General features: G+C 42.9%; 1 long non-coding RNA gene across 6 annotated transcripts in view; it reads left to right on the forward strand.

Moving 5' to 3' along the window:
- LOC105369957 (uncharacterized) overlaps positions 1–20,988 on the forward strand; it is a 40,769-nt gene extending 19,781 nt beyond the window's left edge. For 4 of the 6 annotated variants that reach the window (XR_945302.3, XR_945299.3, XR_001749297.2 and 1 more), the window contains 2 exons: positions 3,738–3,819; positions 18,818–20,988. This is a non-coding gene — a long non-coding RNA (uncharacterized LOC105369957). Of the gene's footprint in view, positions 1–1,051; positions 3,820–7,466; positions 7,607–18,817 lie in introns of those variants that run through there. The other 2 variants (XR_007063437.1, XR_945304.3) reach the window with 2 other exon arrangements.
- The last annotated feature ends 4,510 nt before the right edge of the window (positions 20,989–25,498 follow it).

Consider the following 25,498-nt stretch of genomic DNA (forward strand, 5'->3'; position numbering starts at 1 on the left):
ATAAAGAAACAAAGGTCCTTTCTTACTCTCCCAGTTGGAACCAGTGTAGAGACAGATGTGGGAATCAGACAGGTGGAGATTAAAATGTCACATCTTAAGAAGGGAAAGTGAAAACAATTCTATTGATTTGAATAGCCCCTAAATCATATCTGCTAGAACCTCAGAATGTGACCTTATTTGGAAATAGGGTCTTTGCAGATGTAATCAGTTAAGACAAGGTCATTCTGGATTAGGGTGGGCCCTAATGCAATGACTAGTGTTTTTATAAGAAGGGAAGACAGACACAGAGACACACAGAGAGAACACCTGGTTAAGACAGAGACTGGAGTGATGCAGCTGCAAGCTTAGGGATGTCAAGGATTGCCAGAGTCACTGGAAGCTGGAGTTGATGAGGAAGGATCTTCCCCAGCGCCTTCAGAGGGAGCATGAGCCTGCTGGGACCTCAATTTTGGACTTTTAGGCTCCAGAACTGTGGGAGAATAAATTTCTGTTGTTTTAAGCCACCCATTTTGTGGTGCTTTGTTACAGTAGCCACAGAAGAGTAATGCACCAGCCAGGCAGTTTGGAGAACATGGTTTTCTGTTTGCAAGGAAGTGGGTTTGTGGGTGCCTCATCCCTAAATAGACAGACTTTCCCTTCCAGGGAAGCAGGGACCATGCACCCTCCATGGGCAGGCTGCCTCTCTAGGAGGAAGGAGATAAGTTGAGGATGCCCAGTTCTTTCTCCAAAACTCACCAATCTGAGGCAAAAGATGAGAAGTGGGGGTAGTCTAGCTAAAGTTCCTCCCATGGGAAGCATGGGGAGTGGGAAATAAGAGTTCCTGTCTAACGGTGGGCTGTAGATGCCTATTTTTTAACTTGCACTATATATATATTTTATATATATATAACATATATTTATATAATTTATGTTTACATATTATATAAGTATATATGTTATATAATATATTATATATGTTATATATATAACATATATATGTTTATATAATACGTAAACAAATTATATAAATATAAATAAATACATATAATAGATATAAGTATATATACTTATACATCAGTATTGAATCAGTAGTCAACACCCAAAAGTTGGAAGATTCTATATAAAATCCAGATTTCAAGGTTCTCCTGTGGAAAAATCTGGCCATGCTGGGCTCACATTCCCACAGGGCAGCCTGGTTGTTGCTGCAAAGAGGCTGCCTTCTGCAGATGGGGCCCAAGCTCTCCAGGTTGCTGTTCTCCTACCCCTTTCTACCTCCTGCCACCCCCTACCGTCTACCCTGGTCTGCATCACTCATGTCTATGTCCCCTGGTGTCTTTAGATATTTTGGTTTGGGGCTTACAGAGTAGAGGTTAAGAGCACAGACTCTGGAATCAGCCAAGCCTTCTGTTCAAATCTGATCTATGTCACTTCCTAAATGTGTGGCCTTGGGCAACTTAGCTAAACTCCTTGAGACTCAGTTTCCTCATTTGGAAAATGAGAATAGTAATTGAACTACCTTATGGGGCTGTTGCAAGAATTAAATAATGTAATCATGTGAGTCTTTTTGTATATGTGCAAGATACATAATTGATGGGAATTACTGTTACTCTTTGAAAAGCAAAACTGGGCAATGTGAGAGGAAGCCTGGAAGAGAACTAGAGCCTCTGGCCTGATGTACACTTTGTCTGGTTTTAGCACTGCCCTTGGTCTCATCGGTTTTCAGAAAAATATTTTCATAAGCTCAGTTCCAAGGAGTCCCCTTTCTGTAGCAAGGAGTCCAATAGCAGTTTTGGGAATTAGGGGTTCAATTAGAGCAGTTTTCCCTCTTCCCCACATTTTGATTCTCTTCTGGAAGGAGGTTGCAGTGAGGCAGGAAACGCTGGATTCCATCCAAATACTTTGATGTCTGGCTTTTAAAATAGCAGCGATCTTAGCTGGCTTCACAGACTTCCTAGTGGCCCTCAACGGACAGCTTCTGCTTTGACTGATCACTTCTCCTGGGAGGCCCAGAATGATGAAAGATGCAGAAGTAACCAATTTACTTCAAACAGCCTACTTCCAGGTAGAGGTGAGAAACCAGATGGAATTGGGAAGGAGGCAGGCTGACAGTAAGAAAAGCTTTTTTATGAAGAACATATACATTTCTCACTAGGAGAAAGAATGTCCAGTTAGAAGGCCATCAGCCCTTAAAATAGTTGCAAGCTACAAAACCCAACTCAATCCAGTCCTTTCAAAACGGTAAATTTTCTGGAAGGACGCAGGAGTATTCTGTAGAACCTAAGGACAGCGAGGCCTCCCTAGGGACAAAAATCAGGACCTGGAAAGCATACAAGGTGCAAGGCATCAAGTCTTGGTACAATAGTCCATTGCCGACACAACAGATGGCTACCTGACTGTTCAAACACCGTGTATTAAGTAATCAATTTTTTCTCACCTGGTTTGAAATGCCACATTTATAAGATTTTATTTTTGTGTGTGTGTATTCGGGTCAATTTCTGGTAGGATTTTATCCATTCTGCCGTTTGTGGTTGTTATGGGTTGAAATATGTCCCCCAAAAGACATATGTTAAAGTCTTGACCCCCAATACTGCAGTAACTGAACTTATTTGAAAATAGGGTCTCTCTAGAGGTAATCAAATTAAAGTAAGGTCATTAGGTGGGCTCTAATCCAATATGGCTGGCGTCCTTATAAAAACGGGAAATTTGGACACAGAGACAGACATGCACAGAGGGAAGACAGCCATATAAAGCCGAGGACTGGGGTGATTCCTGTATAAACCTGGGGACACCGAAGATTGCTGGCCAACCACCAAAAGCTAGAAAGGGGCAAAAAAGGATCCTTTCCCTAAAGGCTTCACAGGGCACATGACCCTACCAACACCTTGCTTTCATACTTCTAGCTTCCAGGGCTGTGAGACAATACATTTCTCCCAGTTTGTGGTACTCTAGTAGGGGAGCTCTAGCAAACTAATACAATGCTCCAGTACCAAACTGTTTAATTATAGATTTGTGATATTTCAAAACACCTGGTCATGCCAATCTCAGGGAGGATATTTTTAAGATGAAAAAGATTAGATTCAATGGAAATGCTGAAGATTAGAATCTAAAACATCATTTTTAACATTGATTTTTTTTGAGACTCAGTCTCGCTCTGTCACCCAGACTGGAGTGCAGTGTGCCATCACAGCTCACTGCAGCCTTCACCTCCCAGGCTCAAGTGATCCTCCCACCTCAACCTCCAAGTAGCTGGGACTACAGGTACACACCACTATGTCTGGCTAATTTTTTGTTTGTAGAGACAAGATCTCACCATTTGGCCTAGGCTGGTCTCGAACTCCTGGGCTCAAGCAAGCCACCTTGGTCTTCCAAAGAGTTGGGATTATAGGCACGAGCCACCCTACCTGGCCTAATTTTTAATTATTTAGAACACTAATCAAAATATATTCTTAAAATGGGTATATTTTATTGCATTTTAATTATACCTCAATAAAGTTGATTAAAAAGACAATAGAAACAACAGATTCAAATGTATTATATACCAAAATGTAGCAAATGGAAACCACTACCAGTTGGTACTTTATTGTATGTTGCATGGTTTATGTAAACTTTGGACTAGAGCTCTGCATATATTTAAAATTCTGGTGGAAGTCTCATTAACTTATGCAGGTGGGCTGTTACACTAATATTTCAAACAATTTAGGCTAGCACTCATATACTTGTCTAAAACTGTGCAAGTGAATACATTCTTATATTTGCAGGCCATTCTCAAGCACAACCTGGGTGAGGCTCTGTCATTGCTTAATGGATCAGCTGTATAGTAACAGCAGAAGATAAAACATGGTGAGTTGTGACAATGTAATGTCACAGACAATTTTCCTATTTAAGGTTGTTGTTACAGTTCTGACTTTGGCAAGCAGAATGGTTTCAATAGAGCAATGTGGGGCTTACTATATTACCATGCCTACAGGAGCAGTTAAAGCTTCATGAAAGTAATTGAAAGACTAAATTTTGGGCTCAACATTTAAAACAAAATCAATTAGATGGTTTAGAAGTATTTTATGAATATCCAACAGAGACAGAAATGGAGGTTTCTAATAATTAAAAGTGTTGCTGGATGTGTCAAGATATACTTGAAAAGTGTTTTTTAAAATTTAAATTGGCTGCCAACCTTGTTCATCAAATTCCCCTAAGGCAACACAATAATTTAGGAATGGAAGCAATTGTTAGCGATTCATTATTAGACCAAAAATTCTTACTGTTTTCTGACCTCTGGATCCTTTCTTTTATACCAGACTGAAAGATGAGCTATTCAAACTTTCATGTGTGCAATAACTTATGTAAATTAAGTGATTTGAAAAAAAGACATTTTAAAAAGCTTGGCCTAATGGGCATATACAGATTTCTGCATTTAGCAATGAGAGAATGTGTGTTCTTTTCAAGCACACATTGGGTATTTACATTAAAAAAAAAATCTTGTACTAGGCCATAAGCAAGTCTCAACAGATTGCAAGGAAATCTCTGACAACATAATGTTATGAAGTTAGAAATTACTAACAAAATGGGAAATAAAAAACTTTATATATCTGGAAATTTAAAAGTATACTCCTGAAGGTAATGAAGTAGCTCAAATTAGACTACTTATCTTCCAAGAACAACTAGAAAACCTGTAAAGACATAAGAAACCTTTATCTTTATATAAACTTCTCTCATATAGAGAGAACTTCAGAGGCCGCCAAGACTTGAGGGGCCAAAATCCTAGAGAAGAGGGAATCACAGAGGTTAGTTGACATTCTATAGCCACTTTCCCCCTCGAGGCATTTGCCCACTATGGGTATGGGGTGAGAACTGAGGCAAAGGGTCTGGACAGAAGGGCTACTAATAAGAGGCAGAATTTTTGGCTGTCCTGCAGGGCTAGAAAGACACAATGTAGAGGTTGAGGGGCCAAGGTCCCGGGGAGAAGGGAGAAGCAGTGAACTGATCCCATACAAGATCAATTTCCCTCTCAAGATATTTGCTGATTTCTGAAATGGCTTAAGACAGGAGGCAAGCAGAAAGTCTCTGAAATACGGAGTGTATATTGTTTGGCAATCTTGTGATGTTGAAGAAGCAAGGACTGTAGTTAAGAATGTTTGTGGGGTGGCAGGAGAGGAGCTCTGAAAAAACCCCCAAGTTCTCTATTGCAATTTCTGGACCTTATTGCAATTAGTGTCCCTGCTGAACTGCATTTTTATCCTTTCCTGTTAGGATTCTCTGAGCTCTGTGGTAACTCCACACCTGCATTTCTCAGGATCCAGCCTTGGATAGGAAATGCCCCAAACTGAGCCAAGGCTGCCTTGGCCTTGGCAAGAAGTTAAAGCTCGCCAACCTCATGTTTTCCTTAACTCAACAGTCTTCATTCCAGTTGTAGTAATCTAATTAGCAGCACATGGAACTGTCCCCCTTATTCCACCTCATGTGTCCTATCAGGAGGTACAAAGGTAGTGTAATAAATAAAATCGGCATTCTAATAATACCTAGCGTATCATTTATGTTACCTTTCCCCTCTTAGAAGTACCATGCGTGCTCTTTGACTGATGTTACTAGCCTAAAAAATCATTACTTTCCCTGGCTGAATTGCCATTTGCAATCATGCCATAATTTAGTAATTAAAATCTATTTGTAAGCTAACCTCTTTTCTATTTGGCTCTCTGTGATAGCTAGCAAATGGTCCCAATGATCCTTGCCTCCTGATATGCATCTCTTGTGTCAGTGACAACATCAATTGGGGCTGATTTGTGCAAACAGTAGAATATTGTAGAAATGACAGTGAGTTACTCTGGAGGCAAGGTCAGAAAAGACACTGTGGCTCCACCTTGCTCTCTCTTTGAGCATTTTCTCTGGGGAAAGTAGTTGCTATGTTGTGAAGATATTCAAGTAGCTTATTGAGGAGGAACTGAGACCTCCTGAAAACAATGAACGACATGTGCATGAGCCTCCAGAAGCAGACCCATCAGTTCCAGTCAAGCCTTCAGATAAAGGCATCCTTGGCCAACATCTTCACTGCAACTTCATGAGAGAATGAGCTAGAACTACTCAGCTAAGGTGCTCCAGAATTCTGGACACATAGAAATTGTGTGAGATAATAAATATTTGTTGTTTTAAGCTGCTGAACTTTGGGTTAATTTGTTATGATGCAATGAATATTATTAATACACTGTCTTATTTTCTTGTTTGAATTCCTGAGTTCTTTCTCCCTTTTTCATTCATATGGGTATCAATGCAATTGAGTTCTTTCCATGGTGCACATTTCTGTGCATTTGTTGAGCACTTTTCTTCCTTTTTTTTTTTTTGCCACTGGCTATTTCAAAGAAGGATTCAGTGTTTGAAAGATCCTTCTTTAATACTGGTTCATTCTTTTCCCAGGATGCAGCCTAAGGAGTTTAATTTGCAGTGTTAAACATGGCCTTGGAGTCTGTCCCTTTGGAGAGCATACCTGATATGGTTTGGCTGTGTCCCCACCAAATCTCATCTTGAATTGTAGTTCCCATCATCTCCACATGTCGTGGGAGGGACCTGGGGGGAGGTAATTGAATCATGGGGGCAGTTACCCCCATGCTGCTGTTCTTGTGATAGTGAATGTGTTCTCAGGAGATCTGATGGTTTCATAAGTGGCTTTCCCCACTTTGCTGGGCTGTCATTCTTCTCCTTCCTGCTGCCATGTGTAGAAGGACATGTTTGCTTCCCCTTCCACCATGATTGTAAGTTTTCTCAGGCCTCCCCAGCCATGCTGAACTGTGAGTCAATTAAACCTCTTTCCTTTATAAATTACTCAGTCTCAGGCAAGTCTTTATCTTTATTAGCAGCATGAGAACAGACTAATACAATACCTGAAGGGGTTTCAGGTGCTGATCTTGCTCAATCATTTGTGAAAGCCACACAATGGAAGCAGTTTATTTTGGTTTAGAGATCAAGGTTGTATTTTTGCTAATTGGTGAGAGGAGTAGTGGGGAGGCTTTGGCTGTCAGAAGTAGATTCTTTTTTGCTGATCCATGGAAAGTGACTTTCCTTTCCTGGCCAGAGCCTTTCAGATGGCTTTTTAAATGGTGTGTTTTCAACTAAGGATGTGCGGTTGAGAGTCAAGATGTTGGAGAGGGCTTTTGGCAGACCTGCAGGCACTCTGATAAACTGTCTTTCCTCCAGAATTTTCAGCAGCACTCTGTTGAGTTCATTTCATGAATAACAAGAAATGTTTGCCTAAGTTATTCACTTTTGATGGTTGGGAATATTATGTTCATTAGGATCAACATGTTTATTCCACCCCAGCCTCAACATCTGAACTTTCTTTTTTTTTTGACAGAGTCTCGCTCTGTTGCCCAGGCTAGAGTGCAGTGGCACAATCATGGCTCACTATCAGCTCAGGTGATTCTCCCACCTCAGCCTCCTGAGTAGCTGGGACTACAGGTGGGTGCCACCAGGTTTGGCTAATTTTTTGTATTTTTTTTTTGTAGAGAAGGTGTTTCATTATGTTGCCTAGGCTGGCCTCGAACTCCTGAGCTCAAGAGATCTGCCCACCTCAGCCTCCCAAAGAGCTGGGATTACAGGCATGAGCCACCATGCTTGGCCTGGACATCTTTTATGTGAAGAGAGGGTAGGTTCTAATCTCCAGCTGATCTTTATGCTCTTGATGTTTTGGGGCTGTGATAGGCTTGATGGCTTCCTGTGCTGAAATGCTCTTGCATCATCCATTGAAAATGAGAGCTGCTTTTCACTTAGGGTGACCTGGGGTCAGGCACTATGCTAACTGATGTACCTGCATTATCACATGCAGCCCTCTGTACACCTGTGTAGTAAACACCACTACTGTCATTTTGTAGGTCGTGAAGCTGAGGCTGTGACAGGTGAAGTGATTTGTCTGAGGTCATGTAGTTGGTCAGCGAATGGACAGAGAACTGACCTCAGGCTGGTGGATTCCAAAGCTAGTACTTTGAACCACAGCATGACGAGGCCACCCCTACTTGGCCATAACCTTTTTGCTGGGACAGGAGGTGGAATACCAAAAGCAACAGAACAGAGTCCACCTGCTAACTCGAGGTGCTGAACACCAGCGTCAGTCCTCCTGGCAAGACTCTCGCCCTCCACACCCATTCATAAAGCCGAGTGTGGGTGTGTGACATCAATGTGACATCCTGTGAGACACCTGTGTTTCACTGGCTACAGAATCATCCTCCATTCAGTTCCACTTGTAATTAGCTCAAGAAACAAAATTGTGAAAAGGCACAGGGAACATATGTCAGCCCATTTCCTCTTTCCCTTGGCTGGAAAATGGTGATTCTGGCTGAACGACATCTTAAAAATATTTATAACCATAGAATGTGAGTGCTACAAAGGCCTTTAGCGCAAACCCCATTTTGTAGATGAAGAAAACTGAGGCCCAGAGAAGGGAAATATCTGCGTGTTATCAGAAGACACTGCAGTGTAGTAGTGACAGCTAATTTGATCAAAATCCCAGTTCTTTTACTTACTGGCTGCATGACCTTGAGCAAGTCACAGAATGTCTCTAACTCTCAATTTCCTCATCTGTAAAATGGGAATGATAATATGACTTGGTGCAAAAGTAATTGCGGTTTTTGCCTTTTTTTTTTTTTTTTTTTTTTTTAATGCAAAAACTTCAATGCCAAAACCACATTATTAGGTTGGTGAAAAAAAAAAATTAGCTCATGCTGAAATGAGCTAAGACTTTAGGGGACGGTTGGAAAGGCATGATTCTACTGCCTTTCCAGTGTGCAAAATTACTTTTGCACCAATCTAATAATACCTGCCTCACTGCGGAATCATGGAGATTGCATGAGCTTATGTGTGTGTGTATGTGTGTGGCTCTCAGCCCCGTACTCGGCACTGGAGAAGTGCTCAGCCAGTATTAGCTCAGGTGCTTCCTACTAATCCTCCTTCATTCCCTCTTCCATTCCACAGCCTTGCCTTGGAGTGAGGCAGCCATGACACCTAAGGAAACTGCGGTAGAAAGCTCATGTTCCCCTCTTCACAATCCCCACATTCCAGAATCTGGGGACCTGGGAATTGCCCCCATTTTGTTTTTAAGGTTTCCATAGAAGCCAGGGTCACACATGCTGCTTCACCTTTGAGGACACCTTTGGTTCTTCTACTTATCTAACTAAACATGCCATCATAATCACATGAATATTTATATAATTAAATTTATTATAAAGAATAATAATGGGCATACATGGAGTGTGTTCAATATGCCACTGTGCATGAGTCTTCCTAGCAACCTTCTGAAGCAGGTTCTGTTTTTATCACCCCCATTATTCAGATGAAGAAACGGAGACACTGAGAGGCAAAGTTAACTTGCCCAAGGTCGCTGGCTGCTAAGCGGCAGTGTCTAGATACGGGCCTGGAGCTATATGATTTTGGAGTTACAGTGCTTCACTCTGTCAACTCAAATAGCACGCCTTTACTGTAAGCTCTTGCCCTATTTAAAGAGGATCATTCTCTTTTTCTTTTTTCTTCTAAAATCCATGTTGACTTTACAAGTTTTATGGGCAATTATATTGTTTCCCAGTTGTTGATTCTTGGGTGTGGGTGTGGGGCTGGTGGTTTCTCTTTAGATGAAATGGGAGATGACTGAGGCCTACTAGTTAGCTTCAGATATTTGACAACTGGAATTCTTTGCTGCATTCTTTCTTTACTTTGAACAACTTTGGTCTCAGATGGAATAATTTATAGGTTTTTTAATGGTTTTTTTTTTTTGGAAAATTTGAGGGTTGGAGGTGATGGGTGGAAAAACAGGCAGGGCAAAGGAGAAGGTCTTGAGTTTTGAGTCTGGCCTCATTTAGAAGACTCTTTTTGCACTGTCCTTAACATTTTGGCTTTCAAGTTTTCTCTTGTTCGTGGTTTTGCCCTGTCTCTGTTTATTTTGTGACTCCTGGCTAAGGGGGTGTTTTCTCAAAAGGGAATTATCCACATTGAATCTTGTTCTGGCCACGTGTTGACCACCTTCTCTGTCAAGGCCTTCTTTGTGCAGAGGGGCTGAGTGTTTATTCTGGTTAACATGGATGCCGTATAAAAGTGATCATTAGGTGGGACAGGGGCAGAATGAGCTTCATTAGAATAACCAGACATTTGAGATGTAATCCCCATGACAAGATGTTTGTCCTGGCACCAGAACCACTTCATCAGAGGTTTAGGATATAGGATTCTAATGTGGGCGACTGAAGCACATCACGGTTCCTGTTGTTTTAGTCAGAGCTAAGGAAACAAAACTCAAGGTGGCCTAAATGAGGGGGGTCATTTGAAGGCGAAAGCAGATTATCATCACACTGGAACACAAAGAAGCTTGGGCCTCGCAGGAACCGGAGTTGGACTTTAGGGGCGCAAGTCGTGCTCTCTGGTTCTTGGTCAGTGCAGGGGTTCTCTTTTCCTCCCATTTCTCGGTAGCTGCATGATCTTCTCTGAGCCTCAGCTTTTTCATTTGTATAATGGAGCAGTTGCAGAGTGATTAAGAGTATAGACCCAGAAACGGAAGGTCAATGTTCATTCTTGTCATCGCCACTTCCTAAACTTTTGGCAAATCACTCAGTTTGTGCCTCAGTTTCTTCATTGGTGAAATGAACATTGCCAGACTCTGGGGGTGTTGTGAGGTTTCAGTGGATTAACAGCTCTCAAGTACTTAGCACAGCGCCTGGTGTTCGGCAATGTTCAAGCCAGATTAGCATTGTCTGTCTCTTGTGACTGGCTTCCTTTGCTCTCACAAGGCTGAAAATAGCCATAGCCAAGAGTAGTATTAACACTACTAGTAATAATAATAATAGCTAATAGTTATTGAACTTTTGCTATATAAGCATTTTATAAACACTTTCATTTTATCCTCATAAAAATCACTTCGGAATAGTTACCTTTATTATCTCCACATTACAGATAAGGAAACAGGTTCAAGGAGACCAAGGAACTCACTTAAAGTTACACAGGCAAATGAGACCCAGACCCATTTCGTGTGACTCACTTGCCCACTGTGGGAAGACATGATCTTATCCATTCAATGGCTGCACTACCTGATGGTGTGGTTCACCGTTCTCAATCTTGGTTTCTTAGTTCAAATTCTTGAGAAAAATGTGATGGACCAACTTATCCTACAGATCTTTTTTCCTCAAGGGTTAGGTGTGAACCCTTGGATTAGTCAGGTCGGGCCATGTGGTTCCAACATAGTAGTCTCAACCACACAGGGACTGCAAGCTTTTCCCAGAAGAGGAAGGCAAGCAATAAGAAAACCTTTCTATAATGGACCCCCATTCAATCCTAAAATTGCTTCAGTATTCTCTCCAGAGGGTTAAGGTGCTGTAGGTATTACTGTCTGCCTTTCTCCCACTGAGCTTGGCTTGGGCACCAGGGACCTTTGCTGGCAAGCTCAGTCCTGCCCGTTTCTGGAATCAATCTACCCAGCTCTGGCAGTACATTGGGTGCCCTGTGTCTGCCAAGGGGTGGGGTCTGGAAATTAGTCTGGCAGCCCTAAGTAGCAAGTACCTATGTGTCCACCATGTTGGTTTCCTCCCACCTCTTGGTAGTCTTTCTTTTGGTGTTCTTGCCTGCTTGTTGGAGGTATACTCCACCTCTGCTCTTGATAGACCCTTCAATAAGCCTGACTATTTGCCTAGCATTTTCCCTTTCTCCCCACTGCCTGGGGCCCCAGCCACCAGCTGACATCTCCCCTCAATCCATACATACAGCTGTGAAGCACAGATGTGTTCAGGGAAGAACTCTTTCTACCATGACTCATCCGCCTATCAAATCAGGCCCCTTTGCATATATATTTTTAACTTTTATTATGGAAAATTTCAAACACACACACAAAATATCCAGAATCATATCATAAATCCTCATGCACTCGTCAGCTGGTTTCAACAATGACTGAGTCCTGGCGAAACTTGCTTGATCTGTACTTCCATCTAATCTCTCCCAGTATTATTTTGAAGCAAATTCCAGACATCATATTATTGTATCTGTGAATATTCCAGTGTACATCTCTAAACTATTAGAACTATTCATTTTTAACATTATCACACCTAAATATAGTAACAATGATTACTTAATATCATCAAATTATCTAGCCAATTTTTTTATTATACTTTAAGTTCTGGGGTACTTAAAGTATATGTGCAGAACGTGCAGGTTTGTTACATAGGTATACACAAGCCATGGTGGTTTGCTGCACCCATCAACTTGTCATCTACATTAGGTATTCTCCTAATGCTATCCCTCCCCTAGCCCTCCACCCCTGACAGGCCCTGGTGTGTGATGTTCCCCTTACTGTGTCCATGTGTTCTCACTGTTCAACTCCCACTTATGAGTGAGAACATGCGGTGTTTAGTTTCCTGTTCTTGTGTTAGTTTGCTGAGAATGATGGTTTCCAGCTTCATCCATGTCCCTACAAAGGACATGAACTCATCCTTTTTTATGGCCGCATAGTATTCCACGGTGTATATGTGCCACATTTTCTTTATCCACTTTATCATTGATGGGCATTTGGGTTGGTTCCAAGTCTTTGCTATTGTGAATAGCACAATGTCTGGCACATCAGATAATTCAACAAATGGTAGCTATGAATGCTATGATCATTTATAAAGATCATAATGCCTTCCACACCCAGGGCCAGTGCCATAATTGGGCTTCTTAATACCTGCCCTACCCAGCCCTGACTTCTGTGGGACAGGAGAGGAAGGAGCTCCATTTCTCTCTCTTCTGTCCTTCTCTTTCCCCTGTCCTTATCTCCACCTCTTTTACTAATGTGTCTCCCAGGGGAGGAAGGACATATCTCATGGGGGAGATTGAGATCAGGGGAAGTGACCATAGCCAGCATAGCCCCTTCTGAACTCAGGGGCAGGGTTTGTCCAAGCTATGTTGCCTTCACAGCTGCCTCCTCCATGGGGAAAGAGCCTAGAGCAGGATGAGCATCTGGAGGAGTTGCCAGGAGGGAAAAAGGCAATCTGCAGTTATACCTGACACTGGGTATACATATATTTATTTTTATTGTTTTTTTGAGTGATATGGCTTGGCTCTGTGTCCCCACCTAAATCTCATTTTGAATTATAGCTCCCGTAATTACCACGTGTTGTGGGAAGGACCTGGTGGGAGATAATTGAATCATGGGGGTGATTACCCCTATACTGTGCTCACGGTTGTGAATAACTCAGAAGAGATCTGATGGTTTTATAAGGGGAGACCCCTTTCACTTGGCTGTCATTCTCTCTCTTGCCTGCCGCCATGTAAGATGTGCCTTTCACCTTCTGCCATGATTGTGAGGCCTCCCAAGCCACGTGGAACTGTAAGTCCATTAAGCCTCTTTTTCTTTATAAATTACCCAGTCTCAGGTATGTCTTTACAGCAGTGTGAGAGCGGCCTAATACACTGAGAGAGGGTCTCATTCTGTCACCCAGGCTGGATTGCAGTGGCATGATCACAGCTCACAGCAGCCTTGACCTCTTGTGCTCAAGTGATCCCCCACGTCAGCCTCTTGAATAGCTGGAATACTGCAGGCACGTGCCACCACACCTGGCTAATTTTTTATTTATTATATATTTATATTTATTTTATTTTTTTGTAGAGACGAGGTCTTGCTGTGTTGCCCAGGCATGGGTGTGCATTTAATTCAGGGAGGAAGGAGTGGAGTCCTGCGTTTGGCTTCACCTCCAAGTTGTTTTCTCTAATCCTGCTGCTAGATGTGTCCTTATCCTCCTGCCTTAGCCTCCCAAAGCACTGGGATTACAGACGTGAGCCATCATGCCCAGCCAAGATGGAATACTTAAGAAAACCCAACAACTTGTTTTCTCCATGCTTCCAGGAGCCATCCTATCAGCATGTTTGCAGTGTCTCTCAGGGTCCCTGCCAGGGTATTAAATCCTATATTCAGAGAAAGTGCCCCCATAATGATACATTCTCTTTTATCCAGTGCTGTTTTCTAATTCTCACACCTTCCTCATTCCAGCACCCTTCGAATGCAGTCTCTTTTCTGATAAGACTTGGCAGGATTCTGTAGCTCCTACAGGGTAGAGTCCTTTTCCTCCTTATAAGGTTCAGCACCTCCACAGCTGGGTTGTGTTGCTGGGATGTGCACCTGGCTTAGAGGCCAGTGGGAAGTATGGGCAGATCACAGTGGTACACACGTTCTCTTACATGGGAGAGGCCTCGGCATCCCCTTCCAGGAGGAAACAGGGATGGAACTTAACAAGACGAGGCCATTTTGCAGGCCCAGGCATTCAGAGAAATCAGAGGATTCATGCTTTTTCAGAGGCATTAACCCAGCTGTCATCCCTCAAGGTCACATTGCTTTCCCAGCCAGGGTCCTGACCCTATCATAGCAAATCTACCTAAGGTTGAGAATTTAACCTCCTTTGCTACAGGAGATAAGAGTCTTTTTTTAAAATTTTTTTTAACCATGCTAAGGAGGCACTTGAGCTTTTGTGTTCAGTTTTTAATTGACTGGTAGTCACCCTCAGTCTTTTGTCATCTTTTTCCAAAGCAAACATTGTTCTCCAGTGACAGCCATTTAATTCCACTGCCCTTGTAATGACTATTTCCCATATATTTTTAACACCAAATACATTTTCCTTCCACCTGTATCCCATTCCATTTTAACACCATTGGAAGTTTTGCCAGTTTCATCACCATCTTGTGTCAGGGGCTTTATCAGCTCGGTGTACCAACGGTAACGGGGATCTCATTGCCTGTCAGTGGTCAGCTGGCAGCCTCAGATCCCATCTTAGCATCTTCTTTCTCAGACTACTCCTGGCATCATCTGTTCGGTTGATTCCCCAGGAAGCAGGTGCTGGACAGAGATTTGAGTGCATAGGTTCACCAGGAGGTGTGCTCAGCATGGACACCTGTGGTGGCAGGGCAGGAAGCGAGATCGAGAAGAGAGAGGTGTTGGATTGCAATTCAGTTTCATCTAAGGCCTCAGCTGACCCCTTTGGGAAGCTCTGAACCTTCAGACTTGTCCCAGGTTCGGGCAATGGCCTATGCCTTTATATTCCTGTATTGACTAGTGCAGTGGGCTGAATGTTCGTGTCTCTCCAAAAATTCATGCTGAAATCCTAACCCCCAAATGTGATGGAGATGGGGCCTTTGGGAAGTGATTAGGTCCTGAGGATGAAACCCTCATGAGTGGGATTAATGCCTTTATAAAAGGGACCCCAGAAATCTCTCTTGCTCTCTTTCTGGCACGTGAGGATAAAATGAGAAGATGACCAACTGCAACCCAGAGAGAACCTCCACCAGAACTCAATGGTGCTGGCACCCTGACCCTCAACTTCCAGCCTCCAGAACTGTGGGAAATGAGTTTCTGTTGTTCTTAGGCCACCCAGTCCATGGCACTTTGTTGTAGCAGCCCAAATGGACTAAGACAGCCACTTACCATTGTAGGCTGCCCTTGGGAAGGTGGAGTGTCCTTCAGTGAGGCAGCTTTCTTCAGGGAAAAAGAGGAATTTCTGGAGAGAGATAACAGTTGAGGGCTCTCAGCCGGCAAAAGTCTCAGCAGCAGAAGGAATGAGGAGAAAAAAATGGGCACAGTATTTTGTAGACCCACCTCTTAAGAAGCAGATTCTATTCTTCCATCTCTTGAATCTGGCTTGGCCTTGTAACTTGGTTTAGCCAGTGGGAGAGTAGCCAATATGATACAGCAAAGTCCTGAAAAGCACTTGCCTAGGCTTCCTACTGAGAACCCTTCCATGTTGTGTGAAGAAGCCAGGCTAGGCCCCTGAAGGAAGAGAGGGGCCCCATACATCCCAAGCAAGCCCTCAGACATAGACCCCTGAAGGAAGAGAGGGACCCCATGCATCCCAGGCAAGGATCCCAGGCAAGGCCACAGACATAGGCCCCTGAAGGAAGAGAGGGGCCCCATGCATCCCAGGCAAGGCCTCAGACATATGTTGTGGTATCCCATACCAGGGGTTCCTAAACCCCAGGCCACAGACTGGTACTGATCCGTGGCCTCTTAGGAACTGGGTCACACAGTAGGAGGTTAGTGGCAGGTGAGTGAGCATTACCGCCTGAGTTCTGCCTCCTGTCGCATCAGTGGCAGCATTAAATTTTCATAGGAGGCTGGGCGCAGTGGCTCACGCCTATAATCCTAGCACTTTGGGAGGCTGAGGCAGGTGGATCACGAAGTCCAGAGTTCGAGGCCAGACTGGCCAATATGGTGAAACCCGTCTCTACTAAAAATATAAAAAAAATTAGCCGGGCATGGTGGTGCTTGCCTGTAGTCCCAGCTACTTGGGAGGCTGAAGCAGAAGAATCACTTGAACCTGGGAGGCGGAGGTAGCAGTGAGCTGAGATCGTGCCACTGCACTCCAGCTAGGATGACAGAGTGAGACTCCATCTCAAAAAAAAAAAAATTATCACAGGAGCATGAACCCTATTGTGAACTGTGCATGTGAGGGATCTAGGTAGCACGCTGGGTATGAGAACCTAACTAATGCCTGATGATCTGAGGTGGAAGAGTTTCATCCTGAAGCCATCCTCTCTACCCACTCCACCCCTGTCTGTGGAGAAGTCTTCCGTGAAACTGGTCTCTGGTGGCCAAAAAGGTTGAGGATGCTGTCCTAGACCACTCAGTCCCGGCCAAAGGGTCCCAGACAAACCACACAGCAGACCCACTGGTTCATGGGAAATAAGTGTTTGTTGTCTTCAGCCACTAAGTTTTGGGAGTCATTTGTTACATAGCAAAAGCTTATTGATGAGTAGGCCAGCATGTTTGTTCAGAATGTTTTGGTATTTGGAAAACCTATTTTCTTCCCCCTCTCTAGGTTTCTAGATTTCCAATAAAATTCTAGCCAAATCCATGTTTGTTTTTTCAGATCCTTTCATAAAGCACCCTTTCAATTACCTTCTTCAGCTCAGAAAAGGGAATATAAGAGGCCTTTACTGTTCATATTTGCTAAAGAAAATACACGCTTTCAGAGCTGCCATTGTTACCGAACAGAAAACACAATCACCACTAGAAAAAACAAAGGACTGTTATTTGATCATAAATATTCTAAAGAGAGCAGTATGCTGGTTATTAGCTGAACAGAGTTTTGGAGGAGCATTTGAGGACCTGATGCAGTGAATTAAGTGGAAATGTGCTAAAAAGAAAAAGAAAAAGAAAAAGAAACCCAAAAGGAAACGCAAACCAAGCACCTTCTAGCTGCCTATTGGAAAAATATTTTCATAGCACATAGTTCTTGGCACCAAGCAGTGACTTGATAAATGTTTGTTGACTGAATAAATGAATACATGAATGGTAGGAATCTGTGCTACTGTGCTTGAAAAATGTGCTACCCTGCTGCCCTGGCTCTGGATCTTGGAGGGATCACATTGACATTAAAGTAGAGGAATTGGGCTCAGTAATCTTAAGATTTCTCTTCCCAAACTCCCTAGAACTTTGGTGAAATTCTAGGGTCTCTCCACTTCTGTAGGATACATCTCTCCCCTTTTTATGCCTCTGTTTTCTTTTCTGAAAATGAGAGTATTTTGAAAGCCTAGATTTTGGGATTCGCCACGGGGTAATGGGATGTGCCCGGGGACAGTGATCTGCATTTAATTCCTCACCAGGCCTCTCACCAGATGTTTGTGTGACGTTAGGCAAGTCACTCAAACTCTCTGTGCTTCAGCTTCCAAATCTAATGGGGCCAATAATATTACTTGCAGGGTAGTTGGGAGAATTCAAAATAATATATGCAAAGTGCCTGGTATGTGGGTGCTAAATAGCTGGAAGTTATGATTAATTTGTAACGGGTATGTTGCAGATTTATATAGAGTGAGGAGAATAAAATTTGCACTATTCTAATGGATCTTGTGATTCATCTAGTATTTCTGATCTTATTCACAATTGTCAAATATTGGGGAAAACTCCTCTGTGCCCATTCAGCCTCATGTCTTTATTTAGAATTCTGAACTCTTTCTTTCCAAGTATTTCCTCCTCCCAATGCCCATGGGGACAAGTCACATTTCTTGAGCTGCTAAATTGAATGGCAGCTGCCGCTTACTCCATATGTTTCTCATTCTAACATGTTGTCTCAAATATTTTTAGCTACTAAGCACACACTCTGGTCTGCTATGTTTTGCCTTATAATTTTTTTTTTGTGCACATTTTAGATGCCTGCTTTTGGGTTTTGCATTATTCTGTGGTTTCCTGCCCACTTGCTCCGCCCTTTAATTGCTCCACCAGCACTCAGTCTCCGCTGCCTGCCAAGGCTGGCTCCCCCTTTTCCTAATATCCCCGGCTCTCCCCAAGGGCCGTCCTTAATCCAAAGTGCTCTCCAATGCTTTGCAAAATTGAACCCCCTCTGTTTATCCTGCCCCCTCCCCTCAATGTCCGTGGCAGTTATCTCACTTGGGCTCCCATTTCCTGCTCTTATTCTTGGCTCCCTGCCAGTCATCACACATTCACATGAAATCCTGCCTCTCCTCACCGAAGGGAAAGGCTGTTTCCATTCATGGAAAGCTCATTTGCCACAAAGATGCTACACCCTTGCCACAGGCAGGGTGTTCTCGGGTTTCCTGACATGCCCAGGGCAAGGTTGGAGGGCTCTGGTCCCAACAGTTATTTACAGTGAAGGCAAGTCAGGTTAGAGAACAGTGTGGTCTTTGTGGTGCTGGGGAGAGAGCATGGGCTGTCAATTCTAACTGACCTGGATTTTGGTCCATGTACCATTTCTTAGCCTCAAGTCATTTATCTGTGAAATGAGAATCATCTTATTCCCTACCTCACAGCAGTATTGTGAGGCTCACGAACAGAAGACTCAACACAGAGCCTGGAGAATGACATTTGCTCCATAACGTATTCTATTTTCTCCCCCTTTCATTGATTGCTAAGGCTTCCAGATCAGCTAAAGTATCAACAAGAATGAAAATGACACTTCAAAGGATTTAAGTGAAGAGAGTGTCGTGAAGATTATTTGTAGAGATGTGGGATCAGATGAGAAACACCCTGGGACCAGAAACAGCAGAAGCCCTAATGCCTGCCAAAGGGCAAGACCAGGGTGAGCTCCTACCCACAGTATCTGGCGAGAGCTGGAGCCCTGAGACAGGGATGGGGCCTACTGGCACTTGGAAAGTGTACTGGGGTCTTAGTGAACTGATGTCATTTCCTCTTCTCTTCCCCAGGATTTGAGATTTCTAAAAACAACAACAACAACAACAACAACAACAACAAAACCCTATACAAATCTAAATTAGTTAAAAAAAAAAAAACTAAAGTGGTTGGATGGGAGCTATGGCTTAGGAAGAGAAACACAGCCCATCAAAGAGGGACTAGGGATTTAAATAACCCTCTCTTCTCTCTTCCTGTCCATGCCTTCTGTTGGGTGAAACTAGCAGCCAGAAGGCAAGGGGGCCTGGGTGGAGATGTCCAGTGGCATTAGCCTCCCAGGTACAGAGAGATGCAGAGAAAGATGCAAAATAGACCTGGAGTAGCTGAGAATCATCTTGTCATTTGTCACCTATTAGCCAGTTGCTTTGTCCAAGGCCTTGAGCCTCAGTTTTCTATAGAGTGGGCATCAAACTTGTCTACCTCTTGTCTGCCTCACAGGGCCATGGGGAACAGCCAGTGAAAGTGTTAAAATCATTCGCTTGCCATTTGACCCTCTTCTTCATCTGCATTATCTCACTTAATTCCTCAACAGCCGGGTAGGGTATAAGGCAGAGAGGCCAGGGGACAAGGACAGGCAGGCACTTTGGAATCAGAAGAAGAGGTCATCAACTGTGGCTCAGCCAAGCTTTTTAACTGTGAGATCATGGGAAACTGAAGCTCTCTGAACCTCAGCTATTGTCTTACTTTGAGCTCCCCCAAAATCACATCCTGAGACAAATATTTGAGTGCAAATAGTTCATTTGGGAGCTGATCCCAGGATGCACCAGGAGGGACTGGGCAGGGACTCAGAAAAGGGAAGAAACCCAATTATTGGTGTATTCACAAGTGGGCAACTCGGTCTCAGTGCCACAACTGTGATGAAGACTGTGCAGGACACATCCTGGGGTTGGTGGAATGCAGGGTGCGGGTGCTGGGGTGTTTATTCACCACCTTCCATCCCTCACTGGCTGAGGGTTGTTCTTGGAAGTTTTAACTCCCTGGCCATTTCACACTGCCTGCTGTGGCCAGAGGAGACTCAAGCAGCCAGAGAGTGCCATGGGGTGGAGACACACAGGAAGCCACATAGATGCCCTCCAGCATGGGCCAGGAGGGAATGTCTGGGGGACCGACAGCATCCGTTTTGTTTTTCTAATTTGTATGCTAGAGATGATGTCTATGTCACAGGACAGTGACAGAGATGAAATGATTAATGATTAAATGGCTAAATGTCTTCCAAGTGCCTGGCTCATAGTAGGTATCCAAAGAAAAGGAGGCATTCATAGTAAAGATGGGTAAATATTCATGTGTTACAGATGGAAGCAAATGGGACTCAAAGAAGTTAAGACATTTGCCCTAAATCACACAGACAGTTCTTAAATGGCCAAGTCAGATCTGGCCCCAGTTTGTTCCCCTTCCACTCTGCCGTGGCTACCTCCTGTTAATGGACTATACATTTAGAGTGCTTTTGCCTCATAAAGTGTGTGAAGCTCCATAAATATAAAATGTTTGTAGTCCCAGCCTTGCTAGCTCAAATCCAAGTTAAATTGACTCTTGGGTAGTTCTTCTCTCAGCCCCAATTCTCATAAGCTCAAATATATATTTTCTTAGTCCCCTGGGATCCTCCATTCTGTGCCCCAACAATCCCTAACCCTTCATTAGTAATGCCTAGATGTCTCCACATATTTCAAGGGGTGCCAGAAAGTCTCCAGACAAAATAAAAGATGCCATAAAACACCAAGTGCATAAAACTCTAGACACCTTGTTCTCCATGTCATGTTTCCTTTTAAAAACAAATATTTTGAAATGCCCTCTTTACTATCCTGCTGATACACACATAAAAACTAATAAAATGCACAAACTCTTTTCTTAAAAATTGTGGGAAGATATACATAATAAAAAATTTACCATTTTAACCACTTTCAAAGTGTATGGTTTTGTGTTTTTTAGTACATTCATATTGTTCTGCCACCATCGCTACCATCTATCTCCAGAAATTTTTTCATCCTCCCAAACTGAAAACCTGCATTCCTTAAACACTAATTCCCCATTCCCCTCTCCTTCCAGCCCTGCAACTACCATTCTACTTTGTGTCTCTATGAATTTAACCATTCTAGGTACCTCATATGAGTGGAATCATATAGCCATTTGCCCTTTTGTAACTGGCGTCTTTCTTTCCCTCTTTTTCTTTCTTTCTTTCCTTTCTTTCTTTCTTTCTTTCTTTCTTTCTTTCTTTCTTTCTTTTTCTTTCTTTTCTTTCTTCTTTCTTTCTTCTTTCCTTTCTCCTTCCTTCCTTCCTTCCTTTCTTTCTTGCTTTCTTCTTTTTCTTTCTTTCTCTTTTTTCTTTTTTTTTTGACAGAGTCTTGCTCTGTCACTCAGGCTGGAGTACAGTGGCACCATCTTAGCTCACTGCAACTTCTGCCTCCCTTCAAGCAATTCTCGTGCCTCAGCCTCCCGAGTAGCTGGGACTACAGGCATGGACCACCATGCCCAGATAATTTTTGTATTTTAAGTAGAGTCGGGGTTTTGCCATATTGACCAGGCTGGTCTCGAACTCCTGATGTCAAGTGATCCTCCAGCCTCAGCCTCCCAAAGTGCTGGGATTATAGGAATGAGCCACCGCACCTGGTGCAGCTTATTTCACTTAGCATAAATTCTTCAACGTTTATGTTGTAGCATGGGTCAGAAGTGCCTTCCTTTTTATGGCTGAACAGTATTCCATTATATATATACACGGCACTTTTTTTTTCTTTTAAATTCAGGGGGTATATGTGCGGGTTTGTTACGTGGATATATTGCATAGTGTTGGGGTTTGGGCTTCTATTGAACCCAGCACCCAAATAGTGAATATAGTAACCGATAGGAAGTTTTCAACTCTTGTCCCTTTCCTTCCTTCCCCCTGTTTGGAGTCCCTGGTGTCTATCGTTTCCATCTTCATGTCCGCATACACCACATTGTGTTTATCCATTCATGTGTCGATGGACACTTGGGTCGCTTCCACCTTTTGGCTATTTTAAATAGTGTTGCTATAAACATGGGTATGCAAATATCTGTTTGAGTCCTTGCTTTCAATTCTTTTGGGTATATACCCAACAGTATAATTGGTGGATCATATGGGACTCTATTTTTAATTTTTTGTGAAACTGCCGTATGGTTTTCCATAGCAGCTGCACCATTTTACAGTCCCATCAGCATAACTGTTTTATAAAGGAGAAAAATAGAAAAGCGATTGGTAGTTAAGTAGTATGTGGTATTTCAGAATGCCAAGGCTGGAGCTGGGCTGCATGAGTACACAATGCAGTGATTGCACGTCTGCCCCTCATAAGCCACGAAAACAGACCAACATGTAGGTGCCATGTGACGATGCTGTCCCTGGAGTGCATTGCCAGAAGTGATTTTCCAAAACAAGGAACAACTCTTGGTAAAGCTCTAAATTAATCACAGTGCATCTACATTTGTCTTGTTACATTCCTAGAAACTCAAGTGGATATTAAAAATGTACTAAAAGGTACCTTGTATTTATATGTGAAACAAAATTATAATTAGGAAATTATGAACAAGTATTTTATCTATAGGAGTTTCCAGCAGGACATTTGAGAGTTGTTAGGATGGGGACACTTTTTATATTTTTCCTTTTAGAACTGTCCTGTGCCTCACTTACTAATTTCTATTGGCACCCCACGGGTCAACATTGTGACCAGAGAATGCCCCTACAAATTCCTATGTCCTCTAGGAGTGAGATGCAGCCCCCATTTAGAAATGCTCTAAGGAAGCTCATCCAGGTGGTGGATGAATGATTTCTGATTGCTTGACAGTAATAATGGGACTTGTTGGAACAAAGGCCACGTGCATGTAAAAATGTCCAAAGTGTCCAAGGTCTTGGTCATAAAAACTAGCACATGGCTTTTTTTCCATTAATTTCTTATATCCCACAGGAGCTCAATTGTTCTCAAAATCTGCTTTCTATGCCCAATCCACAGGCAAGAAGGACTGAGGGCCTGAGCACGTGTGGCCTCTGTGGGAAGGAACAAAAAGAGGACAGATATGTGAGACATTTTCAAGGCTGACGCTCCAAAATTAAAGTCATTAGATGTGGGGAATGAGGAAAAGATGAGCATAAAATGTGGCTTAGTATTCTTGAGATTGGGCACTGGAGAATTAACACGCCATTAACATGGAAAGGGTGGTAAAGTATTATATAGACAGTTGGCCCCAGAATTCCACAGACGAAGAGCTGAATGCGACCAGGTGCTCTGCTATGAGAGGTGAGGCCCAAAAGATGCTCTGGAAGGAGAGTGAACCCAAGAGTGAGGCACTTTGGAGGAGGAGGACTAGGGTTTAGGTTCTGCTCTACCACCCATGTGATGTGAGGTTTGAGAATAACTGCCTACAAGTGCCAGTTTCCTCTCTGTAAAATGGGGCTACTCCAGCGCCAACCTACCTCCCAAGGCACTTGTGTGTGAGCACAGTATCTGAGACTGGCTGTTCTGTTCACCTCATGCCTAAAATGGCAATAGCTACTCTGTGTATTAGATCAATGGAACGGAACAGAGAACCCAGAAATAAGACCACGCACCTACAACTATCTGATCTTTGCCAAACCTGACAAAAATAAGCAATGGGAAAAGGATTCCCTAGTCAGTAAATGGTGCTGGGAGAACTGGCTAGCCATATGCAGAAGATTGCAACTGGACCCCTTCCTTACACCATATACAAAAATTAACTCAAGATGGATTAAAGACTTAAATGTAAAACCCAAAACAATAGAAACCCTGGAAGACAACCTAGACGATACCATTCTGGACATAGGAATGTTTGTTCACTGCACGCATGTCTTCTTTTGAGAAGGAACAGACACTTTTCAAAAGAAGACATACACATGGCCAGCAATCACATGAAAAAAAGCTCAACATCACTGATCATTAGAGAAACACAAATCAAAACCATGACGAGATACCATCTCACACCATTGACGAGATACCATCTCACACCAGTCAGAAAGGCTATTATTAAAGAGTCAAAAAATAACAGATGCTGGCGAGGTTGCAGAGAAAAAGGAATGCTTATGCACTGTTGGTGGGAGTGTTAGTTAGTTCAGCCATTGTGGAAGAAAGTGTGGCGATTTCTCAAAGACCTAAAAACAGAAATATCATTTGACCCAGTGATCCCATTACTGGGTATATACCCAAAGGAATATAAATAATTCTGTTATAAAGACACATGCATGTATATGTTCATTGCAGTACTATTCACAATAGCAAAGACATGGAACCTACACAAATGCTCATCAATTGTAGACTGGATAAAGAAAATGTGGTTCATATACATTGAATATTATGTCACCATTAAAAAGAATGAGATCATGTCCTTTGCAGGAACATGGGTGGAGCTGGAGGTCATTATCCTTAGCAAACGAACACAGGAACAGAAAACCAAATACTACATGTTCTCACATAACTGGGAGCTAAATGATGAGAACACATGGACACATAGAGGGGAACAACAACTCTGGGGCCTTTTGGAGGTTGCAGGGTGTGAGGAGGGAGAGGATCAGGAAAAATAACTAATGGGCACCAACCTTAATACCTGGGTGACAAAATAATCTGTACAACAAGCCACCATGACACAGGTTTACTTATATAACAAACCTGCGCATGAACCCCTGATCTTAAAAGTTATATTTAAAGGACGGGCATGGTGGCTCACACCTGTAATCCCAGCACTTAGGGAGGCTGAGGCGGGTGGATCACCTGAGCTTGAGACCAGCCTGACCAACGTGGAGAAACCCCATCTTTACTAAAAAAAGTATAAAATTAGCTGGGCTTGCTGGTGCATGCCTCTAATCCCAGCTACTTGGGAGGCTGAGGCAGGAGAATCGCTTGAACCCGGGAGGCAGAGGTTGCAGTGAGCTGAGATTGCGCTGTTGCACTCCAGGCTGGGCAATGAGAATGAAACTTCATCTAAAAAAAAAAAAAAATTAAATTTAAAAAAAAGGGTAAAAAATAACTACCCTGTGGATCAGTCAGGATTCTCCAGAAAAACAGAACCAAGAGAGTCTACATCTCCATGCACTAAGATTTATTTTAAGGAATTTGTTCATGTGATTGTGGGGGATGGGAAATCTAAAATTTTAGGGCAGTGGTAGGCGGACACTCAGGCAACAGTTGATGTCCAGGCCTTGAGCCTGAAATTTGCAGGGCAGACTGGCATGCTGGACACTCAGGCAGGATTTCCATGTTACAGTCTTGAGGTAGAATTTCTTCTTCAAGAAATCTCTTTCTATGCTCTTAAGGTCTTCAACTGATTGGATGAGGCCCAACTACATTATGGAAAGTCATCTCCTTTACTTAGAGTCAAATGATTGGAGATGCTAATCACATCTATAACATACCTTTGCAGCAACATCCAGTTTAGTGCTTGACCAAACAA

The sequence above is a fragment of the Homo sapiens genome, chromosome 12 (assembly GCF_000001405.40).
Source record: "Homo sapiens chromosome 12, GRCh38.p14 Primary Assembly".
NCBI lineage: Eukaryota > Metazoa > Chordata > Mammalia > Primates > Hominidae > Homo > Homo sapiens.